Here is a 26,449-nt window from a genome sequence, read left to right on the forward strand (position 1 = left end):
AGTGTTTAGAACATCACCAAGCATATAGTAAATACTCCACAATTATGACCAATTTTTGCTTACCAAGGATTATTTTTTTACCTCCTGTCTCGTCTCCCCACACGAACTCCTGTCATCAGTTCTTGGGTACTTGGGGATCTAGCAGGTTCATGTCATACGGGTCCGCAGGTTATGCACTGCACAAGGCCTGGGAGCGCCATTTACGTAGACGTTCACGTGAACCGTGCCCCCTTAAGTTGTGCGAAATAGTGGCCACTCATCTAAAGCAGCGCTCTGGCTTATCAGGTCTGATTTCCTTCTCGTCTTCAGTGATATTCCTTTCTTTCCAATTAGACATCCATTCCCTTGGTTATATCCCTGATATTGTGATTGTGGCCTCCCGAATTTCTAGTGCTAGGTCTTCATGCTGAAGTTCCCATAATTCCAGTTGCTTGATGACTCTCTTCCACCTCCCACCCCCAACCACAACAGTTCTTTATTATCCTGAGACCTCCAGCCCATGAAACTCCTGACCTCGTGATCCGCCCGCCTCAGCCTCTCAAAGTGCTGGGATTACAGGCGTGAGCCACCGCGCACAGCCAAGTTTTACAGTTCTATTCATAAATCTAGTAAATTATATCAGTTATTTGGTCCCATTAATAAACTAAGCTAATTAAAATCCTTTGAACATTTGAAACTGCATTTATAAATTCAATTCGTTTTTCTAAGTATCACAGGTTTCTAACAAAGCCTTTCAAGTCCTTGTGTAATTCTTGTAAATGTAATACATTTATAAGAATACTGAGTCATGAGTGCTTTCAAATGTGTCAATACAAACGAGATTTCATCTTAAAATCAAAAGTCTAAATCTATTCAAATACATATTTGTAATTAGTACAAGAATAATCTGTTAGAATTCTCAAAATTATCTTTTTTTTTTTTTTGAGACAGAGTCTCACTCTATCACCCAGACTGGAGTGCAATAGCGATCATAGCTCACTGCAGCCTCAAGCTCCTGGGCTCAAGCTAGCCTCCTGTTGCAGCCTCCCGAGTAGCTGAGACTGTAGGTACACACTACCATGCCTGGCTAGTTTTTTTAGTTTTTATAGAGGGGGTGGGGAATCTCCCTATGTTGCCCAGGCCGGTCTCAAACTGCCTTCGCCTCCCAAAGCTCTGGGATTACAGGCGTGAATCACAGTGCCAAGCTCTTGAAATTATCTTGAACATTATAGGAATTTAAAGTATCACATTTACACAGATGCCTTAATGCAAAATTATTAATACTAGAAGTTTGAAAACATTTCTAGTCTTTGTTCTAAATCATCTGTGAGGCTCATGCCTGTAATCCCAGCACTTTGGGAGGTGAAGGGCTGCAGATCACTTGAGGTCAGGAGTTCAAGACCAGCCTCACCAACATGGTGAAACCCCATCTCTACTAAAAATACAAAAATTAGCTGGGCATGGTGGTGCCTGCCTGTAATCCCAGCTACTTGGGAGGCTGAGGCAGGAGAATTGCTTGAACCTGGGAGGCAGAGGTTGCAGTGAGCCAAGATTGCGCCACTGCACTCCAGCCTAAGAGACGGAGTGAGACTCCATCTCAAAAAATAAATAAATAAAATGAAATAAATCATCATTGAGGTTAAAAGATGCTTAGTGCCCACTGAAGGAAGATTTAAGTCATCCCAGTTTAAGAGTAACGTGCTCAAGCAATTTGAGATATTTATTCCCTTCTCAGTTTACTGCGCTGGTCATCCAGCCAGCTGGATTCTTGCTTTTGGTAGTGATGGAACAGTGACCCCCACCCCATTCCCACCACCACAACTCTAGGACTAAACAGTTGTGTGGTCGTTGTGAAGCTTGGGCCAGAATTTACTTTCAAAAAATGTCCCGCTTCATGTATAATATAAAGACCTTACAATAAATTCCCATTTCTTCCCTCCTGTTCTTCTTGCTGTTGTCCTACATTTTACTTTTTAAAATCCCTTCCTTCTCTTGCTTTCTCCCCTCTACCCACCAACCACTTGCAAACAACCACTGATCTACATCCTGTCACTATAGATTGGTTTTCATTTTCTGGAATTTTTTATGGACGGAATCATATAGTATGTAGTCTTTTTTGTCTGGCTTCTTTTACTCAGCGTAATTATTTTATAAGCAATCATGTTGCATTAATCAATAGTTCATTTGTTTTTGTTGTTAAGTAGAATTTCATCTTAGAAATATACCACGATTCATTTTATCAGTATTTTAAATTTTTGCATGTGCTGCAAGTACACAATTCATTGCTAATATGCTTGCCTTAGACCAGGCGGTTAGCAAAAAAGATGGTCTGCCCACCTGCAAGCCAAAACCACTCTACTGCCTGATTTTGCACGGCTCATGAACTAAGAATGGCTTTTACCTTGATAAATGTTGAAAAATCACAACTTAATTGTAGCACATTAAAACTATATGGAATTTAAATCTCAGTGTCCATAAACCTTTACTGAAACAGAGTCACGCTCATTCATTTACCTACTGTCTATGGCTGTTTTCATGCTGCAACGGTAGAGTTCAGTGGTTGCAACAGAGATATGGCCTACAAAACCTAAAATATTTATTATCTGCTCCTTTATGTATTTATTTATTTTATGTGTGTATGTATGTATGTATTTTTTTGAGATGGAGTTTCACTCTTGTTGCCCAGGCTGGAGTGCAATGGCGCAATCGCAGCTCACTGCAACCTCCGCCTCCCAGGTCCACGTGATTCTCCTGCCTCAGCCTCCCGAGTAGCTGGGATTAGCCCGCCACCATGCCTGGCTAATTTTTTTGTATTTTTAGTAGAGACGGGGTTTTGCCATGTTGGTCAGGCTGGTCTCAAACTCCCGACCTCAGGTGATCCGCCCGCCTCAGCCTCCCAAAGTGCCTGGGATTACAGGCATGAGCCACCGCACCCGGCCTATCTGCTCCTTTATAGAAAAAGATTGGCAGGACGTGGTGGCTCACACCTGTAATCCCAGCACTTTGGGAGGCCGAGGCAGGCAGATTACATGAGGCCAGGAGTTCGAGACCAGCTTGGCCAAAGTGGTGAAACCCCGTCTTTACTAAACATACAAAAATTAGCCAGGCATAGTGGCACAGGTCTGTAATCCCAGCTACTCAGGAGGCTGAGGCAGGAGAATCACTTGAACCCAGGAGGCGGAGACTGCAGTGAGCCGAGATCACACCATTGCACTCCAGCCTGGGTGACAGAGTGAGACTCCACATAAAAAAAAAAAAAAAAAAAAAAAAGTTTTGTGACCCTCTATTGTAGAGATGGAGGTATTGGGGCTGTTGCCCAGGCTGGCCTTCAACTCCTGGCCTCAAGGGATCCTCCTGCTTCAGCCTCCCAAAAATGATGGGATTTCAAGTTTGAGCCCCATGCCCAGCTCACTTCAGTTATTTCTAAGGTAATTTAAAAAAGATTTTAATTGTACTTACCTTCATTCAATTTCCAGTGCTCTTAATTTCATTGTGTAGACCCAGGTTTTTTTCTGGTATCATATTCCTTTTGCCTGAAAAACTTCCTTTAGTATCTTGTAGAAGGAGCAATGAATTCCGTTTTTCTTTATCTGAAACAGGGTTTATTTCTCCTTTATTTTGAAAGACACTTTCATTTGGGTATAGGATTCCGGAATTTTGGGTGAGCAGTTTTTGTGTGTGTATGTGTTTTTCCCCTATCAGCATCAGCAATAAGGTCACTCCATTGGCTTCTAGCTTGCATAGTTTCTGACGTCTCCATAATTCTTAGCTTCCTCTGTATGCAATGTCTTCTTTTTCCTTGCTGCCTTTAAGATTTTCTTTTGTTTTAGCATTTCGAGTATATCTAATTTTATATGTGTGTGTGTATATATATATATATATATATATATATATATATATATATGAGTTTATTCTGCATGTTCTCTGAGCTTCTTGGATTTTGTGGTTTGCTCTGTCCTTAATGTTGAAAAGTTCTCAGCCTTTAATTCTTCAAATGTTTCTTTTCCTGTTCTCTCTCCTTTCTTCTGGGAATCTAACTATAATATGTTTGAGTGTTTGATATTGTCCCACAACTCTTGGATGTTCTCTTTTGACGGTTTTTTTTCCCTTCACCCTTTTTCCCCAGTGTTTCAGTTTGAATAATTTCTCTTGACCTATCTTTGAGTTCATTCATTCTCTCCTTGGCTGTGTCAAATCCACTGACGAGCTCCATGAGGCACTCTTCATCTCTGCATCTCTGTTAGTGTGTTTCTTTTTTTTTTTTTTTTTTGAGACAGAGTCTCGCTCTGTCCTCCAGGCGTGCAGTGGCGCAATCTCGGCTCACTGCAAGCTCTGCCTCCCGGGTTCACACCATTCTCCTGCCTCAGCCTCCTGAGTAGGTGGGACTACAGGCTCCCGCCACCATGCCCGGCTGATTTTTTGTATTTTTAGTAGAGACGGGGTTTCACCGCGTTAGCCAGGATGGTCTCAATCTCCTGACCTCGTGATCTGCCCGCCTCGGCCTCCCAAAGTGCTGGAATTACAGGCGTGAGCCACCGCACCTGGCCATTAGTGTGTTTCTTATTTTGACCAGTTCCATTTGGTTCTCATAGCTTCCATCTCTCTACTGAGATTGCACTTTTGATCTTGCATATTGTCTACTTTTACTGTTAGACCTTTTACCATATTAGTTATTTGAAATTCTGTATCACATAGCTCTGACATCTGTGTTTGGTTCTGAAGATTGCTTTGTCTCTTGGGAGTATGTCATTTATCTCTTGCTTCATAAGTGTTGGTGAAAGTTGGACATCTTGTGTAGGATAGTAGAGGCCCAGGGAAATGGGTTTTGTGTAGAAATGGGCACACTTTTCCTTCTGTTAGGTCTTTAGCGTGGGGGTTTGAATTAACCTAGTTAGGAGTTGTGATAGGCTGGGTGGGTGGCTCATGCCTGTATTCCCAGCACTTTGGGAGGCCAAGGCAGGAAGATTGCTTGAACACAGGAGTTTGAGATCAGCCTGGACAACATAGTGAAACCCCATCTCTACAAAAAAAATAAAAATTATCTAGGCATTTTTGGTGCATGCCTGTTGTCCTAGCTACTGGGAAGGCTTGCCGAGTCTGTCCTGCAGACTCTGCCCAAGCGACGGATGAAAGGAGTACTCAGATACAGATATCCAGTGAAAGAGCAGGATAGGGGACTGCCAGCACTAGGGGCCGAAGAGAATTAGCAGTTCCCCTAAGCCGGCAGCCCTCGCATTTGTTTGGTACAGATTTAATGACAAAGGCTTGGAGCAAACACAATTTGTGGGTAATAAACATTGTTGACCCCCCGAGTAGAGAGCAGTCCTGCATGCAAATGATTAAAGGTTGGTTTCTGGAGACAGGAGTAGACAAATTTATCTAGATAAGTTTCTTTACATTCCCTTGTTATCTGCCCTTTGCTCTCAGGCTCCAGATGAGACAATTTGGCTGCCTTCAGCCATAATTTCCTTCCAAAGCTTTTGTAAAACCTCCTGGCCTTTCAAGAAGGTTTGTGTCTTTACTATAATTTCTCCCACCACCCTGACCAATCTCCTACATCTCCCCCTTTTCTGTTTTTTGCATCAGCTTTTGTTAATTGAAGAGTACAGATGTGCAGCAACAGGTTTTTCAGGTGTAGTGGTCACTGCTTGTATTTCGGCTTTGCATCCTAGAATTAGTAAATAACATAAGATAAACGTGAATATAATCAGTAACATTCTTTTCCAATCAAGGAGTGACATGTAGTGTTACTTGCCACCTCAGTTCAGTGTGTGCCCTTACTAAGGAACCCCACTGGGGGTATGTTAACCCCTTCCAGCCAAGCAGTTACGTTATTAGAGGCTGGGAAGGGGGTGTCCACCCAGGTAATAGGGTGGAAGAAAAGCAGATTTAGAAGATGGGCCCAATAGAGTGTAGCAGGTACTGGTTGCAGGCAGAGTGAGGGAATTAAACAAGGTTAATAAAGCATAGTAAGGAATAAATTATCTGGAGTGAATGGTGTTTGTGTCCAGAGCAGGATTCGTTCAGCCTCCTGAGTTGTCTTCTTCAGCATCCCCCAGGTAATGTCTGGGGCTTGTGTCGTCTGAGGAAGCTGCATCATCCAGGGCTGTGGGTCCTGCAGGGACATTTCCTTCATTTCTGGTACCAGGTTGGGTCCTAGCCACACCATGTTAAGGTTTGATGCGTTGTGCTGGAATCCAAAGAGGACCTGAGGTGATGTGAACACAACCATATCCTCTTCCCCATGTTGGCAACTCATTTGGACCACACCATACATTACTGTTTACATCTTTCCATAAAACTGTGGGTTTTATGTCTTGAGAGGTTTTAGCAAAGTGCTTTTCTATAGCTGATTGAAATTTATCATTTAAATTTAAGAAATTAAGGGTAAATAAGGCTTTTGCTAGTAGTGTTGCAGGGTCCTTACTCATACTCCCCCTTTTTTGTTTTTTGAGCATATTTTTAAGAGTGGACACGTTCTACTATGGCCTGTCCTTGGGGGTTATACGGGATGCCTGTGGAATGCTGGATGTTCCACGTGTGACAAAATTGTTGAAATTGTGAGCTGGCATGAGCCAGACCATTATCAGTTTTAATTTTTGTGGGCCGCCCCATAAATGCAAAAGTTAAGAGAAGAGTTTAATAACATATCAGGTGGACTTTCCAGGAAGAGCATTGTGCTAATTAGGTGAGAATAGGTATCAATGGATACTTGTACATATCTTAGTTTTCCAAATTCAGGGACGTGAGTAACATCTGTTTGCCATAACTGATTAGGTTCTAGTCCTCTAGGGTTAACGCCTGTTGAAGGAGGGGACATGCCTGTGAGCTGGCAATCCGGGCATTGCAGGATAATTTGTTTAGCTAGTCTTTGGGTAAGTTGAAATTGTTCAGTTAAGTTCCTTCAATTTTGGTGGAAAAATTGACGCAACTGCATGGCTTGGTGAAGCAGTGACATCATAACTTGCAGGTCTGCTTGTTCATTGCCATAAGCCAGTGGGCCAGGCAGTGAGCTGTGGGCTCGAATATGTGTGATAAAAATAGGATGTGTACGTTGATCCAGCAATTGCTGAAGTTGAAGAAAAAGTGCACACAGGGTGAGCTTGAGAGTGGACTTAATGAGGGCTGTTTTAAGGTTTTGCAATAAATAAACAGAGTAAGCAGAGTCACTAATATTGATAGGCAGAGTGGAAAAGTTCTCCAGGGGCAATATTAAGGCTCCAACCTCAGCTCTCTGAGTGCTAGTAAATCCAGAATGAGTGAGGAAATTATGCAGTCTCCACCAAACAGGCGCTTTTCTGTTTTTACCAGAGCCATCAGTAAAAAGTGTTAAAGTGTTGGGGTATGGGGGAGTGAACTACTTTTGTAGGCACAACTACAGGAGTACGAGATAAGAACTGAATTACGTTGTCAGCAGGAAGGGCATGCTCTATATGGCCTGTGTAATCAGAGATTGCTATCTGAAGATCTAGAGATAGGGGCAATACTGATCCAAATTGCCTTTTACTCAAAGGAATTCTTATGACATCATAACCTAGCAACTGATTGCACTATCTGCGGCCTGTATAGATGACTTTACTAACTAGCTGGATATAGGAAGATAGTGTTTTAGTCTCGGTATGTGAGCAAAAAACCCATTCTAGGAAGCGTAGTCCTGGGGTCATCTCTCCTATTAATACTGTTGGGGAATGTTTAGTAGGAAAAACAAACAATTGAACTGACTATCGGGGTGTCTATGTGATATAGTTGCCTCTGAGAAATAGCTTGCTCTATTTCCTCAATTTCCCTTTTTGCTGCAGGAGTCAAATACCTGGGAGAGTCTAGGGCTGTATTGCCCTTTAGGATAGAAAACAGTTTTGTAACTTATCAGTAGTTATGCCCAACGTGGGGTGAAGTCAATTAATATTGCCCAGTAACTTTTGATAATCATTTAAGGTGTGTAAATCGCTAGTATTTAACCTTTTGAGGTCTTACTGACCAGAAGTTAGTATGTATCCAAGATATTTCCAATTGTACTTTTTCAGGTGCTATGATTAAACCTCTTAACTGTGTATTCTTTATGACAGAGGCATATAAACTTAAAAGCACTGGCTCTGTTGGGGCTGCTAGGAAAATATCATCCATAAAATGAATAATCTTGCAACTAGGAAATTCTTTTCTACTGGGGAGCAAAGCCTGATTTACATGATACTGACACATGGTAGGACTGAACAGCATCCCTTGAGGAAGTACTTTCCAATGAAATCAGCGAGCTGGCCTCTCATTACTGATAACTGGTATTGTAAATGCCAATTTTTCTCTGTCCTGTTCTACAAGGGGAATAGTATAAAAGCAGTCCTTTAAGTCAATAATGACTATAGGCCAATCTTGAGGAATCGCCTCAAAGGGGAAGGGAGGTCCCGTTGAAGGGGCCCCATAGGTTGCAAATTAGCATTGATAGCCTGTAAGTCATGCAAAAGTCTCCATTTGCCAGACCTTTTGGGAATGATGAAAATGGGCGAATTCCAAGGGCTGTTTGACAGTTCTATATGGCCAGCTTTTAATTGTTCTTCCACTAATTCATGGGCTTTTTGTAATTTCTCTCTCTTTAAAGGCTACTGTTTTACCCAAATAGGATTTTGAGAGAGCCATGTCAGGGGTAGGGGAGGAATAACAGTGGCCATTATTAGAAAGGTTTGCTGTTCACACAATTTATCAAATTCTGCCCTCCAGAGGAGGTACTGACTGGCCTTTAAAGTTGTTTTAGCTAGCACTGACCAGTCCCATGGGGTGATATGGAAGTTGTCTGCTATGGTTTCAATTATTCCTTTTGTAAATGGGCTAGTGGCTCCGTTTAATGCTTTTTCTTACCACTTTATAAGCGTCAAAAGAAGTTGTCTGCTATGGCTTCAATTATTCCTTTCATAAATGGGCTAGCAGCTCCATTTTCTTTAACGTTTTTTTCTTATCTCTTTATAAGCGTCAAAAGAAATGGGTTCATATACCTGATCGCCTTGTCGATCTTGCATTACTGGGCAGGCTAAGAGCTCCCCTTCTGATGCCGCTTGGCTAAGACAGGGTCCCAAAGCTGTAGTGTATCCCTTGTCTTTTTCCAATTTATTGGAGGAGGGGGCTCAGGCAAAACCTCTGTTTCCTCTTTGTTATTTTTGCCTGTTAATGGCTGGGCTGAGGGAGAAGGAGGAGACGGTAGGGTAGGTGACGGTTCCATCTCCCTTACTTTTTTAGGCTTTTCTGTGTAGAGTGGGACCAAAGCAGTCCTAACTAAAGCCCATAACGTTAAAGATGTTACTGAGACCCATTGCCCTTGCTCATGATGTTAAAATTTCTTCCCAGAGCTCTACGTCTAGTGTACCTTCTTCCGAGAGCCATGGGTTATGGGAAACAACAGTTTGCATTAGGTCCCATAATTGAGCCTGTCTGAGGCTCTGCTAACTTTCAGCATTTGTTTTACTACTTTTATATACTGTTGCTGTTGAGCTGACAACTGTTGTCCCATGATGACAACTGTCATCCCATGATGATCGTCCCTAGCTTGAGCAATTCCTTTGAACTTGGAAATGCTGAACAGGCACCAATGACTTACTGACTGCGCAGTCTCTTCACCTTCATTTTCGAGGGTTCCGTCGTGATCTGTTGCAGCATTCCTCACACAGGGAATCACCTGCCGAGTCTGTCCCACAGACTTTGGCCGAGTGACAGATGAAAGGAGTACTCAGACACAGATATTCAGTGAGAGAGCAGGCTAGGGGACTGCCAGCACTAGGGGCCGAAGAGAGTTAGCAGTCCCCTTAAGCTGGTGGCCCTCACATTTATTTAGCACAAATTTAATGACAAAGGCTTGGAGCAAACACAATTTGTGGGCAATAAACATTGTCAACATCCCAAGTAGACAGCAGTCCTGTGTGTGAATGATCAAAGGTTGGTTTCTGGACACAGGAATAAACAAATTTATCTAGGTAAGTTCCTATACAACTCCCCTGTTATCTGCCCTTTGCTCTCAGGCTTCAGATAAGAATTTGGCTGCCTTCAGCCATAATTTCTTTCTGAAGCTTTTGCAAAACCTCTCGGCCTTCCAAGAAGGTTTGTGTCTTTCCTATAATTTCTCCCACCACCCTGACCAATCTCCTACAAAGGCTGAAGCAGGAGGATTGCTTGAGCCCAGGAGTTTGAGGCTGCAGTGAGCTGCGATCACACCACTGCACTTCAGCCTGGGCAACAGAGCAAGACCTTGTCTCTAAAAAGTAAATAAAAAAAAGAGTTGGGCTAGGTTTGAGGTTTATTGTTGCTATGGTTACCCCCAATGCAGCAGCTTCCAGTTCCTCCAATGACACCTTGGACTGAGGGTGCAGGCTGGCCTGCCAGAGGGATTTTCTCCTTCCATGTGTGCTCCCTGCTCAGCTTTAGGTCCTCCCTTTGTGACCCTCAGAAAGGGTCTTCTTCCCATACTCTTGTCTCTCTCCTGTAACATTTTTACTTCTAACTCAAGGCTTGTCAGCTTACCATTGGCAGGTGGGGGAGGAGGGAATTCTCTGTTCTGATCAAGTCTCAGTCTCTGTCAGGCCCTTTGTGTCTCTGATTTTGGGGTTATGTCCTCCTTAGTGCTCCTGTTCCTCCCCCAGTTCTGGGCCCAGTGTGTATTCCTGCCCCTGCCCAGGGAAAGTTTTGTTTTGTTCCTGTTTCATTCCCCCAGATGCAAGGGAGCTTCATCCAAGGGGGTGACAGGATTTGGTGTCCTTCCCTCCACAGACTAAGGCTTTTGTCCGGTAGGGGATACAGGGAAGGGTCTGGGTGGAGCACTGTGATCCTTTCACAGTAGCTGCCATTGTCTTCTTCCAGATCTTGAGACATTTTATTAAAACTTTCTCCAATCTTCTGTGTGCTCCCAGTGGGGTTCATGGTGAAAAACGCTGAAAAGGGTAAAGACTACTGCAGTCTCCATGACCCAGTCCCTCACCAGTGTCCACTTGTGTTTACCAGGTAACCAGTGCCCATGTCATCTCTTCCATTTTGTGCCTGTCTCTCCTTAGATTTGAAGCCAGTTGATTGTCTTCTGATCTCAGCTCTCCAGAAGACCTTTTCCAGAAGACCTCTCCCTGTGTATCCACTTCTAAACCAGTCACAACTGCCCGAGTCTCACAGCAGCATGGTGGATATCCCGCTGTCCCTCAAACTGGGGCTCTGTCAACAAAGAGGAAGGGAGGAATGACTCCCTTGGGAGGAGACAACAACATTGCAAGTGATCTAGTCTTTGAAAGGCTTTTAAGCAAGGGACTGAGATAAAATTTATTTATTATTTTTAAGAGAGAGGTTCTCACTCTGTCAGCCAGGTCTCACTGAGAGCAATGTGATCATAGCTCACTGCAGCCTCCAACTCCTGGGCTCAACGTATCCTCCCACCCAGCCTCCCCAGTAGCTAGCACTATAGTCACACACCACCACACTAGTTAATGTTTTCATTTTTTGTAGAACAGAGGACTCGCTGTGTTACCCAGGCCTCAAGTGATCATCGGGCCTTGGCCTCCCAAAATGCTGGGGTTATAGATATGAGTCACTGTGCCTGGACTAGAATATTTATTTTTGAAAGATCTTTGGTTGCAGGTGTCAGATGAATCAGGAATTGAGACGAGATGGGAAGGCATCAAGACCAGTTATCTGCTATGATACTCCAAGCAAGAGAGGATGGTGGCTGGGATGAGGAATTTGGCAACGGGAATGGGAGGAAGTGGATGCATTCAAGATAAATATCCATTTATTAAAAGTAGTTGCTTTTTCACCAGAGTAATACATAAATATAGTTTTAAAAGTAAATACTGCTACTATCTTAACAATAATTTAAAAAATCTCAAAATAACATGCAACTGTTTGATTTTTCAGTTTTAGGCATTAGTTCCCCTTATAAATGATGAGAGTTTAGAGCTTAGACCGCTTGTCCTGTTACCAACACCACCACACATGCCAGCATTTCCCATCACTCCTCTTTCCATTGTCATCATACTGTAATCCTGGTTAGACCAGTATTCAGTGTTTCCATTATGACTACGTAAATTCTAATCACAGCTGAACCAGCAGTATGATATTTAGTTTTCCCTCCTTTCATAACTTTTCCCATTCCTGCTGAGTTAATACTTTTTTGGCTTGTCTTACTCTGCTCAGTTTTCATTTTGTAAACTTTTAAACATTTGAACTCTAGCAAATATACTGAGAAGTGCCCCAAACGTAAATGGAGAGTTTAACAAATAATTATAGAGCAAATACAACATTTAGGTACCACCCCAATAAACACAACACCGAGGACCCCCAGAAGCACCCTGTGTATAGTGGAATGTTGTGTTGTTTCTGGCCATGGAGTCTCAAAGACTGATTCTCAATTTTTGTTGCTTGAAAACAAGTAAACAAGTATTCTCAGCCGGGCACGGTGGCTCACGCCTATAATCTCAGCACTTTTGGAGGCCGAGGCAGGCAGATTACTTGATGTCAGGAGTTCCAGACCAGCCTGGCCAACATGGTGAAACCCTGTTGTTTTGTAAAAATACAAAAACTATCTGGGTGTGGTGGCATGTGCCTATAATCCCAACTACTTGGGAGGCTGAGGCAGGAGAATCGCTTGAACCTGGGAGGTGGAGGTTGCAGTGGGCTGAGATCATGCCACCGCACTCCAGCCTGGGTGACAGAGTTAAGACTCTGACTCAAAAAAAAAAAAAAAAAGTTGGTGTAATCCTTTCCACACACACATATATATATACATAGATGTTATATGTGGTTGCCTTCTGTTCCTACTGATATATATGAATAGTATGGCTGATTGCATTATTGGTTTGTTTCTTCATTCCCCTGTAATAAGACTAAACATACACACCCTTTGCCATATAACCTCATAAAGTTTTCCCAACACAGGCTCTATGCTTCCCTACTGCACTGATGTTGGGCTTGGCTATGTGATTTGCTTTCGCCAATGGGATGATGGTGCTTGTGACACAGCAGAGGCTTGAAATGTGCTTGTGTGATTCCATTTGGTCTCTTCTAAGTTTCTGTGATTCATGAGAAGAGCACGCCCTGAGTAGCTGCTGCAACTTCTGCCACATTGGGCAAACCTGAATCCAATTCACATGGAGGTGTCCAGCCCAGCCGACCCACAACCTGAAAAACAGCTGCTTGGGCTGAACTTGATCTAGATCAGCTGAACTACATACAGTTGCCTTAGAAATTTGTGAGACTAAGACTAGACAGAGAACAAAAGCAAAAGAAAGAAAAAATTTGTCTGCAATGACTGGCTAGGAACCTGGACAGATTCCTGGCAACATAGCTGTGCAAAAGCAGCCCCACAAGCAAAATTGAGCCAGGAGACAGGGTTCTGATCCCAGGCATGGGCCTTGGCAGCTGAAACTTGTTAGGCTGGGCCTCTCCCTCGCCAGTTCAGGCAGCCCCTCCTCTGAGGCCTCATGGACCATTCTCTCTTCTCCAAGACTTCAAGATTCCTTCCTAGTGAGTTTTTCTTTTTTACTTTTAGATGGAGTCTGGCTCTGTCACCCAGGCTGGAGTACACTGACGTGATCTCAGCTCACTGTAACCGCCACCTCCCAGGCTCAAGCAATTCTCCTGCCTCAGCCTCCCAAGTAGCTGGGACTGCAGGCACACGTCACCAAGCCCAGCTAATTTTTGTATTTTTTAGTAGAAACAGGGTGTCACCATGTTGTTCAGTCTGGTTTCAAACTCCTGACCTCAGGTGATCCACTCGCCTTGGTCTCCCAAAGTGTTGGATTACAGGCGTGAGCCACCATGCCCGGCACCTAGTGAGTTTTTCTGTTACTTTTTTTTTTGGAGGCGGGGTCTCCCTATGTTGCACAGGCTGGAGTGCAGTGGTGAAATCATGGCTCACTGCAGCCTCAACCTCCTGGGCTCAATTGATTCCTCCATCTCAGCCTCCCAAGTAGCTGGGACTACAGGCATGCACCACCATGCCCAGCTAATCTGTGTATTTTTTGTAGAGAGGGTTTCATCATGTTTCCCAGACCGGCCTTGAATTCCTGAGCTCAAGTGAGTCGCCCGCCTCCACCTCTCAAAGTGCTGAGATTACAGGTGTGAGCCACTGCACCCAGCCTGTTAAATCTTTTTTTCAATTAATAACAACTTCTTTTACAGACAGGGTCTCACTCTGTTGCTCAGTCTGGGGTGCAGTGGCACTATCATAGCTCACTGCAGCCTTGAACCCCTGGGCTCAAGTGATCCTCCTGCCTCAGCCTCCAGAGTAGCTAGCACTACAGGCATGTGCCACCACATCCAGCTAATTTTTAATTTTGGTAGAGACAGGGTCTCCCTATGTTGCCCAGGCTGGTCTCCAACTCGTGGCCTCAAGCAATCCTCCTGCCTCAGCCTCCCAAAGAGCTGAGATTACAGGCATGAGCCACCACGCCCAGCTTCTGTGACTTTAAAAAAATCTTTTTAGACAGGGTCTTGCTCTGTCACTTGGGCTTGAGTACTGTGGCACAATCACACCTCACTGCAGCCTTGACTTCTTGGGCTCAGGCAATTAATTCTCGTCCTTTGGCCTCCCCAGTAGCTAGGACACAGGCGCACACCACCACACTCAGCTAATCTATTTTTTGTAGAGGTGGGTTTTCGCCATGTTGTCCAGGCTGGTCTGGGACTCCCGGCTCCCAAAGTGTTCCAACCACAGGTGTGTGGGCCTTCCGTGGTATCTTAACCTCATCACCCAGAGGCAACAACAGCTAGTATTCTTCTAGTTTTTACCACCCCCACCACCTCAATCCTGCCCCTGTAGCCTTTCCAAGTGCCACAGCATTGTTTCAGTTTCTATCTTAGAAAGCCCGGGAGTCTGTGTCCTATCTCCCTGGGGGCATTCAAACCCTAGTCCATAGCCTGAGGCCCACCTATACCCAGACCCAGTGTCTTGGAAGCACTGACTTTAATACCCACTTAGGCTGGGCGCAGTGGCTCACGCCTGTAATCCCACCACTTTGGGAGGCTTGGGCGGGCGGATCACCTGAGGTCGGGAGTTCGAGACCAGCCTGACCAACATGGAGAAACCCCGTCTCTACTAAAAATACAAAATTAGCTGGGCGTGGTGGTGCATGTAATCCCATGCCTGTCTCAAAAACAAAACAAACAAACAAAACAAAACAAAACAAAAAAACCCCAGTTACATTCAGGATGAATTCTGCCTTCCTTTTTGCCACCTTGGGATTTCCATTTCTTTCTCTGAAATAGGCATTTGCATTTTTCCTAGGATTTTTTTTTTAAAACAGTTGGAATTATCCCATATACACAATTTTTTCACTTTTCTAATTAACATACATTTCCCCATGGGCTTGTGTCTCACCTCTCAATCCCCAGTGTATAGCAAAGACCAGGCTCAGGGGCACTTACAAATGTTTGTTGAAACCAAAGACATCCTATATTACAGAAATGAACTTTGGAAAGACCAGTCAGCGTGGGTGGGTGAGGAATGCCAGAGACGGGAGAACAAAATGAGGTATACCGTCAGGTTTGAAGGGTTGAGGGTTATGGAGGGTTCTTCATAGGAAGTTCACCATGGAGTTCTTGGAACTGTTCAACACACAGAAGCAAGGTCCTCTCCTTCTAGGTATGGCTAGAAATGTTTATCAATAGCTGAGACTCTGATTCCCAGGGTGGGATCAGGAAGCCAGCCCCAGCTGCTGCAGCATTTTTTTCCCTTTTTCTCATTACAGGAGCCAAGAAAACTGTCAAAGCAGATGATGCAAGAGTGAAGCTGACTCAGAAATACTCAATCCCCCCAGGAACTTCTCTAAGAAATGGACTGACCATCCTGTAAGCTTCCATCTGGAGGTACCTGGGGAAGGGCTTCTCACATTGAGGCCAATAAGAATCCCTAGTGGGCCAGGTGTGGTGGCTCATGCCTCTAATCTCAGCACTTTGGGAGGCCAAGGCGGGTAGACTGTTGAGCTCAGGAGTTCAAGACCAGCCTGGGCAACACGGCAAAACTTCATCTCTACCAAAAAAAAAAAAAAAAAAATTAGCCAAGCATGATGGCTCGTGCCTGTAGTCCCTGGAAGGCTGAGTTGGGAGGATCACCTGAGCCTGGGAGGTTGAGGCTGCAGTGAGCTGTGATGGCGCTACTGCACTCTAGCCTGGGTAACAGAGCAAGACCCGTATCAAAAAACAAAACAAACAAAAAACTTCTAGTGAGTAGAGCGACAGGGAGACAAATCCAGTTTGTAATTTGCTACAGTGCAAAATATCTGGCTTTCCATAGAGGGAGTGGGAACAAGGCAATGCTGGCCTTCATTCAATCAGAAACTTGACTTGTACCCGTTGAAAACCTGTCATGTTTAATGCTTGGATATTTTTTCTTCTAGTAAAGACACTTTACTGCCACCTGCTGGAAAAGAGTCAGAAATTTTCCAAATGCAAACATCTATGGCCTCCCTATAATGTAGCATCCTTTTACTGTACATAGTCTGCACAACTGTACAATTTAGAAGAGAAACCAACATTTGGTGTAACTCTACCATATACCAGGCATCTGTCATAGAATCTGAACAACCGCTCTATGAAATCAGTACTTATACCCCAATTTAACAGATAGGAAATATTGGGACCTCTGGGGAAGGGAGGAAGAAGAGGGTATCACCAAAAAAGGGCAAAAAGGGGGCTTGGTCTGTATTGGCAATGGAAATTCAACTTGGGTGGTAGGATTATGGATGTGTTACAGCTTTCTTTATAATTTGGTACATGCCTAAAATGTTTTACAATAACAATTTAAATCACCTGTGAAGAAAAGATTCAGAGAGGTTAACTGATCAAAAAAATCACACTGCCAGACAGAACTCTGTTAGAGGTAGACCACTTGCAGTAACATTACATTGCTTCTCTAATGGTTAAATTTAGCACAGAATCAAAGGAGAGCTATAAAGTCTAGGAAGTACTTATTTACATAGGATTGAGTCCAGAACATCTTGTGACACCATCTACATATGTTTTACTTGGAGAATAGTCTGAATTTCGTATTACACGTTGAGCATTTCTAATTTGAAAATACAAAATCCTCAAAAATCTGAAATTTTTTAAGCATCAACATGATGCCTAAAGTAAATGCTATTTGGAATATTTCAAATTTCAGATTAGGAATATTGAACTGGTATGTATTCCGCAAATATTCCAAAAATCCAAAAAAATTCAAAACACTTCTGGTCCCAACCATTTTGGATAGGGGATATTCAACCTATATTACACACAGGTAATACAGCAGGGGAAAAGCAGGGAGACTGCAGCATCTAAGTCTACTAAATTGGCCAGGATCATTCCTTAGTCTTCAGATACCTATTTATCAGGGTCTCATTAAATAAAGTTACTTGTCATGTTAGTTCAGTCTGGCCTGTGGCTTGTAATTATAGCTGCAAACTCAAGGGCAAAGTTCTTAGGATTTTGAGATGCTCTTTATGCAACAATACTTCCATTTACTTTGTGTGTGTGTGTGTGTGTGTGTGGGTGGGTGGGTGTGTGTGTGTAGGGAGAGAAAGGGGGCAATGGAGTGGAGAGTGGAACTACAATTTATTAAGCACCTATTATTACAAGCCAAGTAGGGTGTTAAATATTTTCCTCGTGCCATTCCATTCAATACTCTTCGATCCTGAGGGAAAACGAACCCACTTAAAAAAAAAAACAAAAGGTTTTAATGAGGATTGCATAAGACATGCAAGGTCACCAGGGAGTTTACATGCAAGTGGGGAGATACAAAATAATACAACAAAAGTTCAGGTGTTCTGAGGAAAAAGAAGGGCAAGGGTAAGTGATGACAGTGGGGGAAGTCGGATTCAGGATAAACCAATTTTAGACTCATTTTTTGAGGAAGGAACTGAGCATGACCTTACCACACAGCCTTTTTAGTTAAGTGTTTCTTTAACTAGGAAAAGGCCCTGGGAAGACAGGCTCTCTACTATGCAAACCCAATTCCAGTCTTGGGAGAGAATTTGCTGGTGGGACAAAATCAGGTTTTTCAAGAGATGCTTAAATGGTCAATTCTAATTATAACCATACTTGTCAAAAGGTGAAGCAAAGATGAAAGTTAAAAACTAAGAAGAAATTAAAATTCCCAAATCTGTCAACCAATCTCTAATTTTCTCTGCTACTTTAGGACTATAGTAATTAGCCATACCCTGAGGATCTACTTTACAAGATATATTCCTCTGACAGTCCCACTCTAACAATTTAATCTATCTTATGTAAGCTGGACAGGCATTTCAAGTACAAGAAACAGAATTCAAAACGTGAAAACGGAGCCATCTATCACACACGGTGTCGGTTGGAGAAGCATATTGCTCAGGCTGCAGGGACATTTCATTTATTTAAATGTTTTTATTAAAAAAAATTAAAGACCTTCATGGCACAACTTCTTCCCAGCACAGTTATGGTTTAGTCATACCAATTACAATACAATTACAACCAATAAAGCAAGGTGGGGAGGGCCTTCTGGCTTCAAACTTAAAAAAAAGCAGAGGAAGAGGGGAGGGACCACTTCAAACAAAGTTTAAAAATACTTTAAAAAATCTTTCAGAGTAATTGCCAACATAACCTTTCATGTTGGCCATTCCATTTCCTGCCATCTAAGCAATGCAGACACAGGTAGTGCTGAGAAATAGTGTCCCAATACAAGGTATACAGATGAGGTAATTTACAACAACACGTAAGTTGTTACTCTGTAAACCCTTGCCTCCCCCCCACCCCCCACCCAATTGGGTCTTTTTTTTTTTTCTCTCTCTCCATGCTTCTGCAGTGACTCTTAAGTAGCATTTTTAAAAACTTCTATTTATTTTAAAAGGCTCTTGGGTGGCACCTCAGAGTCCTCTGCATTCACCTTCGGTTTATTCCAAGGTCTGATGGGTGTAAGGAGGTCCAGCTGTCTGCAGCTCTCCGCATCAGCCTAAGCTACACCTCAATTTCCGAGCTACAAGGATAGGGTATGAAGTCTTGATTTACAACCCTCTCCCCACCTCAAAAGAAAGAACTCATTAGTTATAAGTGTCCTGTTCAAATCACAATCCAGTGCAAACATAATCACAAATTGCATCTCTGGCACATCTGGTGCTTTTAGCTTCTGCACAAATTCAACATGGTAACCCTCACAGCATTCTAGGGCATAAAAGGGTCAAGTACAATAAATATCCACTGTAAGTGGTCATAAGGAAGAAAATCACCCTGCCACACAGTCAGAATGTTTTCCCTTCAGCTCTCCCTACCGTTGAGAAGCGCTATAAAAGGAGGCTTTAGCGTCCTCTAAAGTTTACCATTATATTCACTAAAGCCACCACCTTGATAAAGTTACTAAAGCCAAGATGGGTTACAAAGTTAGATAAGTTCATTAAATTCAACTCCCCAAACAATTACGTTTATCTATGATGCCTAGGCGAGAAAGGCCTGTGAATCTATAAGGTAGGAGAATGGGGAACTAAGATTTTAGGCCTTAAAATATGTTGGAAGAATTTTTCCTAGTTCCCACAAGCAGCTACTGTAATGAAATAACAGGAGAAAATACAGAGCTGATGGTTTTGCTATTGTGCTTAAAAAACTAGGCTTCCTCAGTGAAGCACCTGATAAACTTAGGTGGTTGGATTACAGTGGAAAGTCCACTTTACACACACACACAAACACACAAAAACTGGCGACTTTTTCCATCCCCAATCCCTGCACTGCTGAGACACAAAATGAGTTTTATGGCAAAGGATCCTTAATCCCCAGAGACGCTTTGGCTTGTGGTGCTTTTTTTTTAAGGCCTCTCTGCTCTGCCCGGTACCATGGGTCGAACGAGGGGTGTATAAAATGGGGGCCTTGGGAAGCCTCCACGGTACAGGGCTGCAGGCCCCTCAGATGTGAACATGAGACACCCACCCAGCAAGACCTTTACACAGGGAACTTAAATCTAACCTTGATAAATAAAACCAAACGTTTATTTACACCAAAGAATTCCAACACTGGATCTTTCACATATGAAGGACAAAGTATTATATATATACACACAGCAAGGGGTGGCGGGGCTGTAACAAGAGAGTTTATAGTTTTCCCACAATTACAGGTCTACCATTTCAGCTTCAATGGAGATAGTGGCTCTGCTCCTACCTCTCAAGATACATTTACAAGACTGAGGAGCAGGTCTTCTCACTGGATGGCATGTGAGGGAAGGGGACGGTCGGAGGAAAAGAAGGTAGAAAGCTTAAAATGGAAGTCAGTGTGGCCACATCTCCCATTAGCTCTAGCATGAAACCTGTACAGACAATGTTTGTTTCTTTTGTAAAAAGCAGTAAGTTATGCCCAGTAACTAAATGAATTCAAAATGGCCAAGACAAAGAAAACTAAGAAAGATTTTGCCTTCCCTCTCCTACCAGCTATGGAGCACAGCATGTTGGGAGATGAACAGGGAAAAGACCAAGGTAAGGAGCCTGGGAGGGAAGGTATCAACATTTTAAACTGAACTAAAAATAAAAGTATAAATGAGTTGGATTTAGGGTTAGATCAGTAAGACATGATTCTTACTGAACAGAAGTTTTTAGTATCTGTCTGCATTTTGGGTAGATTTTCAACATCTTGATGTAACTAAGACACACTTCCACAAGAGCCACTAGGATAACCCCACTGAAGCGCTTATGGAGTAAAGTGATGTAAGCGACCAGCAAGCAGTCCACTGCTCCTATAGATTGGGTCCTCCCTTCCTTCTTTCCTTCCTTCCTTTCTTCCTGCCTCCCCTGAGAAGCTACATTTTTGTAATCTCTGGAGAAGAGCACGAGATACCAACCCCCTAAAGTGTGGGACGGTGGAGGAACAATGGTGGGAATGGGAAGAAGTCTCCACCTAAATGCAGCAGCCGGGATTGAGGCTGGTTTATCTTTGTTCTTTTGTGATGAGGAACTAAATTTGGGAGGGGAGAAAAAAAAATTTGTCCATGAAATATTCCACCTGCAGGTAATTTTTCAGGGAATCCCCTGAGTTATGAAAAGTTCGAGTTAAAAAAAAAAAGAAAAAAGAAAATCAGCCTATTATAATTTTTTTTTTATGACTGAACTACTATAAATCCACAAGCAACGGTTCAGACACGGTGCTTCTGAAGTGTTTCACCCCTCCCCGCCAGGCGCAAGCTGCATCAAGGAGAGGGTGGACTCCCCCACCTCTGCTCAGGCATCAGGAGACAGATAGGGCCGTTACTGCTGAGCGCCAGCGGCAGCTGGAACAGGCATCCCAAGGGGGTTGGCAGCAGCAATCACTGGTGAGCCTGCCAGAGGTCCAAGGGGTGAAGGGGTTGGCACTGAAGAAATCCCTGAAAGAAAAGAGCTGTCAGTGAGCCAAAGACACCAACCATGGCAATCTTACCAGTTTCTCATAGCACTCACTGCAAAAGGAACACAATAATTCTTTACTGAAGACTTCCTCTTAGCTGGATTTTTACATATACTTCAAGTCTGACCCTCACAAATTCAAGTTAAAGTGGCAAGTCCTAATCAATTTAAGAGACAGGTAAAGAAATCTAGGCTTGGACAATTTAAGGAGTTTGTCCAAAGTACACGATTAAGCAAGTGGCAACCATGGTTGGATTCTAACCCAGGCCTGTCTAGGGCAGAGATGTCCACCCTGGTGACCAGTAGCCAACCACATGTGGCTGCTGAGCACTTGAAATATGGCTAGTGCAACTGAGGAACTACATTTTAAATTTTATTCAATTGTAATTAAATAGCCTCACGTGGCTAGTCACTACCATACTGAACAGCACATGACTGCAGTCAAAGCTCATGTGCTCTTACACCATGCTGTCTTGATAGCTGGCAGCTTTCAAAATTACTGAAAGTCAATTTGAATGGGGAAAGAGCATTTTCTAAGATAAAATTGTGTTTTGGAATTTATTTCCATTTGATTTCTTCCACCTCTCTAATCATGTTTTTGTGTGTGTGTGTGTGTGTGTGTGTGTGTGTACACACAGGTAATACATTCACATGGTTCAAAATACAAAAGGTTCAAAAAAGTATACAAAGGCCAGGTGCAGTGTCTCACGCCTGTAATGCCAGCACTTTGGGAGGCCAAGTTGGGCGGATCACCTGAGGTCAGGAGTTCAAGACCAGCCTGGCCAACATGGTGAAACCCCATCTCTACTAAAAATACAAAAATTAGCTGGGCGTCATGGCGGGCGCCTGTAGTCCCAGCTACCTGGGAGGTTGAGGTGGGAGAATCGCTTGAACCCGGGAGGCGGAGGCTGCAGCAGCTGAGATTGTGCCACTGCACTCCAGCCTTGGCCACAGAGCAAGACCTTGTCTCCAAAAAAAAAAAAAAAAAAAAAAAAAAAAAAAAAAAAAAAAAAAATATATATATATATATATATATATATATGAGAACATTATTATACATTCTTCTCCACTCCTCTTAGACATGGCTCTGCATCTCACTTTTTCTTTTGAGACAGAGTCTCACTCTCACCCAGGCTGGAGGGCAACGGTGCGATCTCGGCTCACTGCAACCTCTGCCTCCCAAGTTCAAGCGATTATCTTGCCTTAGCCTCCAAGTAGCTGGGATTAAAGGCGCCGCCGCCACGCCCAGCTAATTTTTTGTATTTCCAGTAGAGACAGGGTTTCGCCATGCTGGCCAGGCTGGTCTCGAACTCCTGACCTCAAGTGACCCACCCGCCTCAGCCTCCCAAAGTGCTGGGATTACAGGCATGAGCCACTGCACCTGGCCCTGCATCTTGCGTTTTAAATTTCACATTATTATATTGGAGTTGGAGATCTAACAGAACATGAAACTCTTATTCTACTGGCTGCACCACATTCCATTAAATGGATATACCATAACTGATTTAACCAGTTTCCTACTGATAGCTATTCTCAATGTTTTGTTATTACAAATAAGGCTACAAGTAAGTTTGGATATACATTACTCTGTACAGAGGTAGGATACTCAAGGGGTAAATTCTAGAAGGCAGTTAGTTCTTTTCTTAAAAAAGAGGAGGGCAACAGCAATTATTTGAGGATATGTAAGTAAATGCCTTCACTACCAGATATGCACCCACTTGGATGTTGCCTATATGTATAATTCTTATGCTATGTGCCTGTAGTTCCTTTGGAATAACTGGGTACTCTATAAAAATTCACTGTGCGTCACAATGATCCAATAATGGAAAACCATTTTACTTATGTTTTTACAACTGATAGGCACTCTATAGTTGCTCTGGCACATGTCACGGAACTGTCCTTGTACACATACACACCTATGTATAAACCCCACCTCTATACCCCATTTCTTAACATTGTTTCTAAGGGCCATGTAACTACTGTCATTTCAAACTATAAGATGAAATGGTGTATTTTTCCTTTTCATGGCTTGGCACTTTCAAGCCCCTATGCCAAAAATTTTCAGCCAGGAATGCTGAGATTCTAGCCTAGAAGGGGATACCCTACTCAAGACAGTATCACTAAAGTATACCAAATGTCAAGCATGCTGAAACCTGGTTAAAAAAAAGTCACAAGGCCACCAGTACGGAGAAGAGAAGGTATACAAGAAATCAGACCACAAAGCTAAGAACAGTAATTGACTTCCACATTTTTTTAAAGAAAATTTACCAATGAACTGACCTGACATCATATTGGCGCTGCTGACGGGCGTACTGCCCCCTGGCATGCTAGATGAACCCATTCGAGCCTGGTCCTTCACAACAGTGTCTAGAAAAGAGACAAAAAGGCTAGGTTCTGTTTTGCTTGAAAGATTAAACTAATGGTCTGGAAGCCTGAAAGCAGCCAGCTTCATTCTTTGCAATTTATATATACTCTACATTATTCCCCAAAGAACTTAAGGTGGCAATTGCCTTCACCATGAATTAGACAAGTGGTAAAAAGCAGAAATAGCTTTCCTATCAAACTGTGGTAAAAGCTAACCTTTCAATCAAATGGTAGAAAGATGAGGTAATTATTTATAGCAGAGCGAATTTAATGAAGCCCTGGTCCTGTTGAGGTTTAATGGAGACAAGACACTGTAACTCGGCAAAGACGGTAATATATTACCAGTGTGTCCACAGCCCAGTACCAAGTAGGCCAAAGCTATAGGTCCATGTAGCTTAGGGCTATGACCACATTCTCTATCCCAATCAGCCTATCTATCTGCTTCAGGTATTGGGCAAAAGTATAAATGATTCAGTACAAAACCATCACACCGAAGGAAAAATGTCATGTTGCAGCTAACATCACAGTGCAGATGGGGTGGGTCTCAGTGGTATTTTCACTTAGGATGGCACAGGTGGCTATACTCACAAATCTAAGTCAAGGTGTTCATACAATTTTAAGATTTGTAAGCCTCATTAGCTCTTTCCAACGAATGATTACTAGGGACAGGAAAGATACAGGGCTGTGTATTCTAATTCAACCATTCCAGACTGAGGCACTGAGAAGTGTCATCCTCACAGTATGAAAAGAGTTTATTTAGGAATGCTCTTGTGTCATGTATTCTGTTACAGAAGAATTCTTCCAGTAATTCTGCAATGTAGTTGCCATCACTATCCCCACTGGAAGAATCTGAGGCTCAGTGTGGGTGAATTAACTTTGCAGCAAGCTGACAGGAGCTGGGATTACGACTCTGTTCTATAGGACTCTGCGCCTGCACAAACTCTGTGGGCTAGATATCTGGACTCACAGAAATAGGGGTGCTCCATTGCCTCTCTTGCAGTAAGCCGTGACTGGTGGTCATATCGCAGCAGTTTGTCCAGGAAATCCAAGGCCTCAGGGCTGACAAGGTGCTGATTTTCACTGTGGACAAAGCGTTCCCATCGCTTTCGAGAGTGTCTGCAGGACCAAAAGAGGGCATGAGAAATGGGCCACGTGGGCACAGAAGCCCAACATTTCATTCCTACATTTTTCTTAGTGGCTAACAGCCCAGACAAAAGCAAAGAGGGATCCAAACTCAAGAGGGTAGTCTTGCACCGCTCTGCCACTGAGTGGGACAACAAAGCTAACTGGAGACTGGAAACAACATAGCTAGAGTGAAAAAAGACATCTGAGTCCTCTCAATTTTAAGAAACATAATTCAGGTTACTTGACAGGACGTGACCGCTTCTGTGTAGCAAGGAGGGTCAGGTGGCTGAGCTCACCAGGCCTATTTCCCATCCCCACACATATTCCTGGCATCTCTGCCAATTGGCCAGCAAAAGCCTTTGCATCAGGAAAGTCCATCTCCTCCTGTTGAGTGGTTAAGTGTATAAGTACTATATCTAGTCACTACTGTTAAGAGTCGGTTGTCTGCATATAGCCTTTTTTTTTTTTTTTTTGGAGACAGGGTCTCACTCTGTTGCCCAGACTGGAGCGCAGCCACATGTTCATTGCTCTCTGTAGCATTCCCTCCTGGGCTCAAGGGAAGCTCCTGCCTCAGCTTCCTAGTAGTCTGGACTACTGCCACACATCACCATGCATGGAGTCGAGGGTCTCATTATGTTGTCCAGGCTGGTCTCCAACTCCTGGGCTCAAGTGATCCTCCTAAAGTTCTGGGATTACAGATATGAGCCACCGTGCCCAGCCTGCACATCAGTCTTAAAGCATGCATTTTCTACTTCAATTTCTTTCTCTTGGAGAGAGGTTTTTCACTTAAAGAAGCAAGGTAAATTTTGATTTTTGCCTCAACTGTAACCCTTCTACTAGAATCTACATTCATTTTGTAGGAATCCTCTAGCTATAACCCCTCCATCAGACTCCTGTAAGTTAATTTGAATAAAGGGCCATTCAATCCAATGCCTTTATCAGAGGCCTGCTCAATGCAGCATCCTGTGGCACTGGACCACTGACATCCTGACAGTGCTGGCAAAGAAAACATAACTATTTTGAAGATCCTAAGTGCCAGTTCACTCTCAAAGTGCTTAAGCCACAGATGCACATATTTTGTTTCATGACTTACCTGCCCAAGATATCATTGAAACGTGGATCTAATTCAATGTTGTATTTGTCAATATAGTCATATAAATCTTCTGTCCCCAGAACCTTGGCTATCCTCACCAACTAGTATTAAAGAAAGACAAAAACCCATATCACAAGCATATTATATTAACAAATCAACAATTAACAATGATTGAATTTACATAAACGGGTCATCATGTCTACAGGTATGAATGCTACCTCCTAACAGTTTAGACTTCAACTCAATGTGATAGTGTTAGAAAAAGCAAACTACTTTATAAACTGGTTTCTTCCTCTTGAAATGTCACCCTGGTGAACCCTTATTTTTCTCCCCTCAAAACCCAATTGAAGATGTCACTTCTTTTGGGAAGCTCCCATTGCACACTCAAACTACTCACCACTACTGCCTTTTGTGCCTTGTCCACATTTCTACTCTGAAGTTATGACTGTAACCTATTTTGTTGTATGTTTGACTCCCTTACAAGATCAGCTATGAACTATCTGAGGGGAAGAAAACTATTCTTTCTTTTTTCTGTATTCCTCAGTACTGCATGCACTTGATACAG

At 43.1% G+C, this 26,449-nt stretch overlaps 1 protein-coding gene across 5 annotated transcripts in view, besides 2 other annotated features; it reads right to left on the reverse strand.

The window, feature by feature from the left end:
* Positions 110-179: a silencer, noted in NCBI's record as "silent region_12578". NCBI's record gives its function as "represses an Ori minimal core promoter by ATAC-STARR-seq in GM12878 lymphoblastoid cells {active_cell/tissue: GM12878}" and the evidence as "EXISTENCE:reporter gene assay evidence [ECO:0000049][PMID:35858748]".
* Positions 9,705-26,449, reverse strand: part of CSNK2A1 (casein kinase 2 alpha 1) — a 71,293-nt gene continuing 54,548 nt past the window's right edge. For 3 of the 5 annotated variants that reach the window (NM_177560.3, NM_001895.4, NM_177559.3), the window contains 4 exons: positions 25,885-25,985; positions 24,634-24,782; positions 23,583-23,669; positions 9,705-21,283 (listed from right to left, as the gene is read on the reverse strand). In NM_177560.3, coding sequence (NP_808228.1) covers positions 21,168-21,283; positions 23,583-23,669; positions 24,634-24,782; positions 25,885-25,985 — 453 coding nt within the window. In that variant the 3' untranslated portion in view covers positions 9,705-21,167. The remainder of the gene's footprint in view (positions 21,284-23,582; positions 23,670-24,633; positions 24,783-25,884; positions 25,986-26,449) is intronic. The other 2 variants (NM_001362771.2, NM_001362770.2) reach the window with 1 other exon arrangement.
* Positions 13,407-13,611: a silencer, noted in NCBI's record as "fragment chr20:456844-457048 (GRCh37/hg19 assembly coordinates)". NCBI's record gives its function as "represses an EF-1alpha promoter that drives an FKBP-Casp9 reporter gene in an ReSE screen in K562 erythroleukemia cells {active_cell/tissue: K562}" and the evidence as "EXISTENCE:reporter gene assay evidence [ECO:0000049][PMID:32094911]".

Source organism: Homo sapiens, chromosome 20 (genome assembly GCF_000001405.40).
Source record: "Homo sapiens chromosome 20, GRCh38.p14 Primary Assembly".
In the NCBI taxonomy this organism is placed as follows: Eukaryota; Metazoa; Chordata; class Mammalia; order Primates; family Hominidae; genus Homo; species Homo sapiens.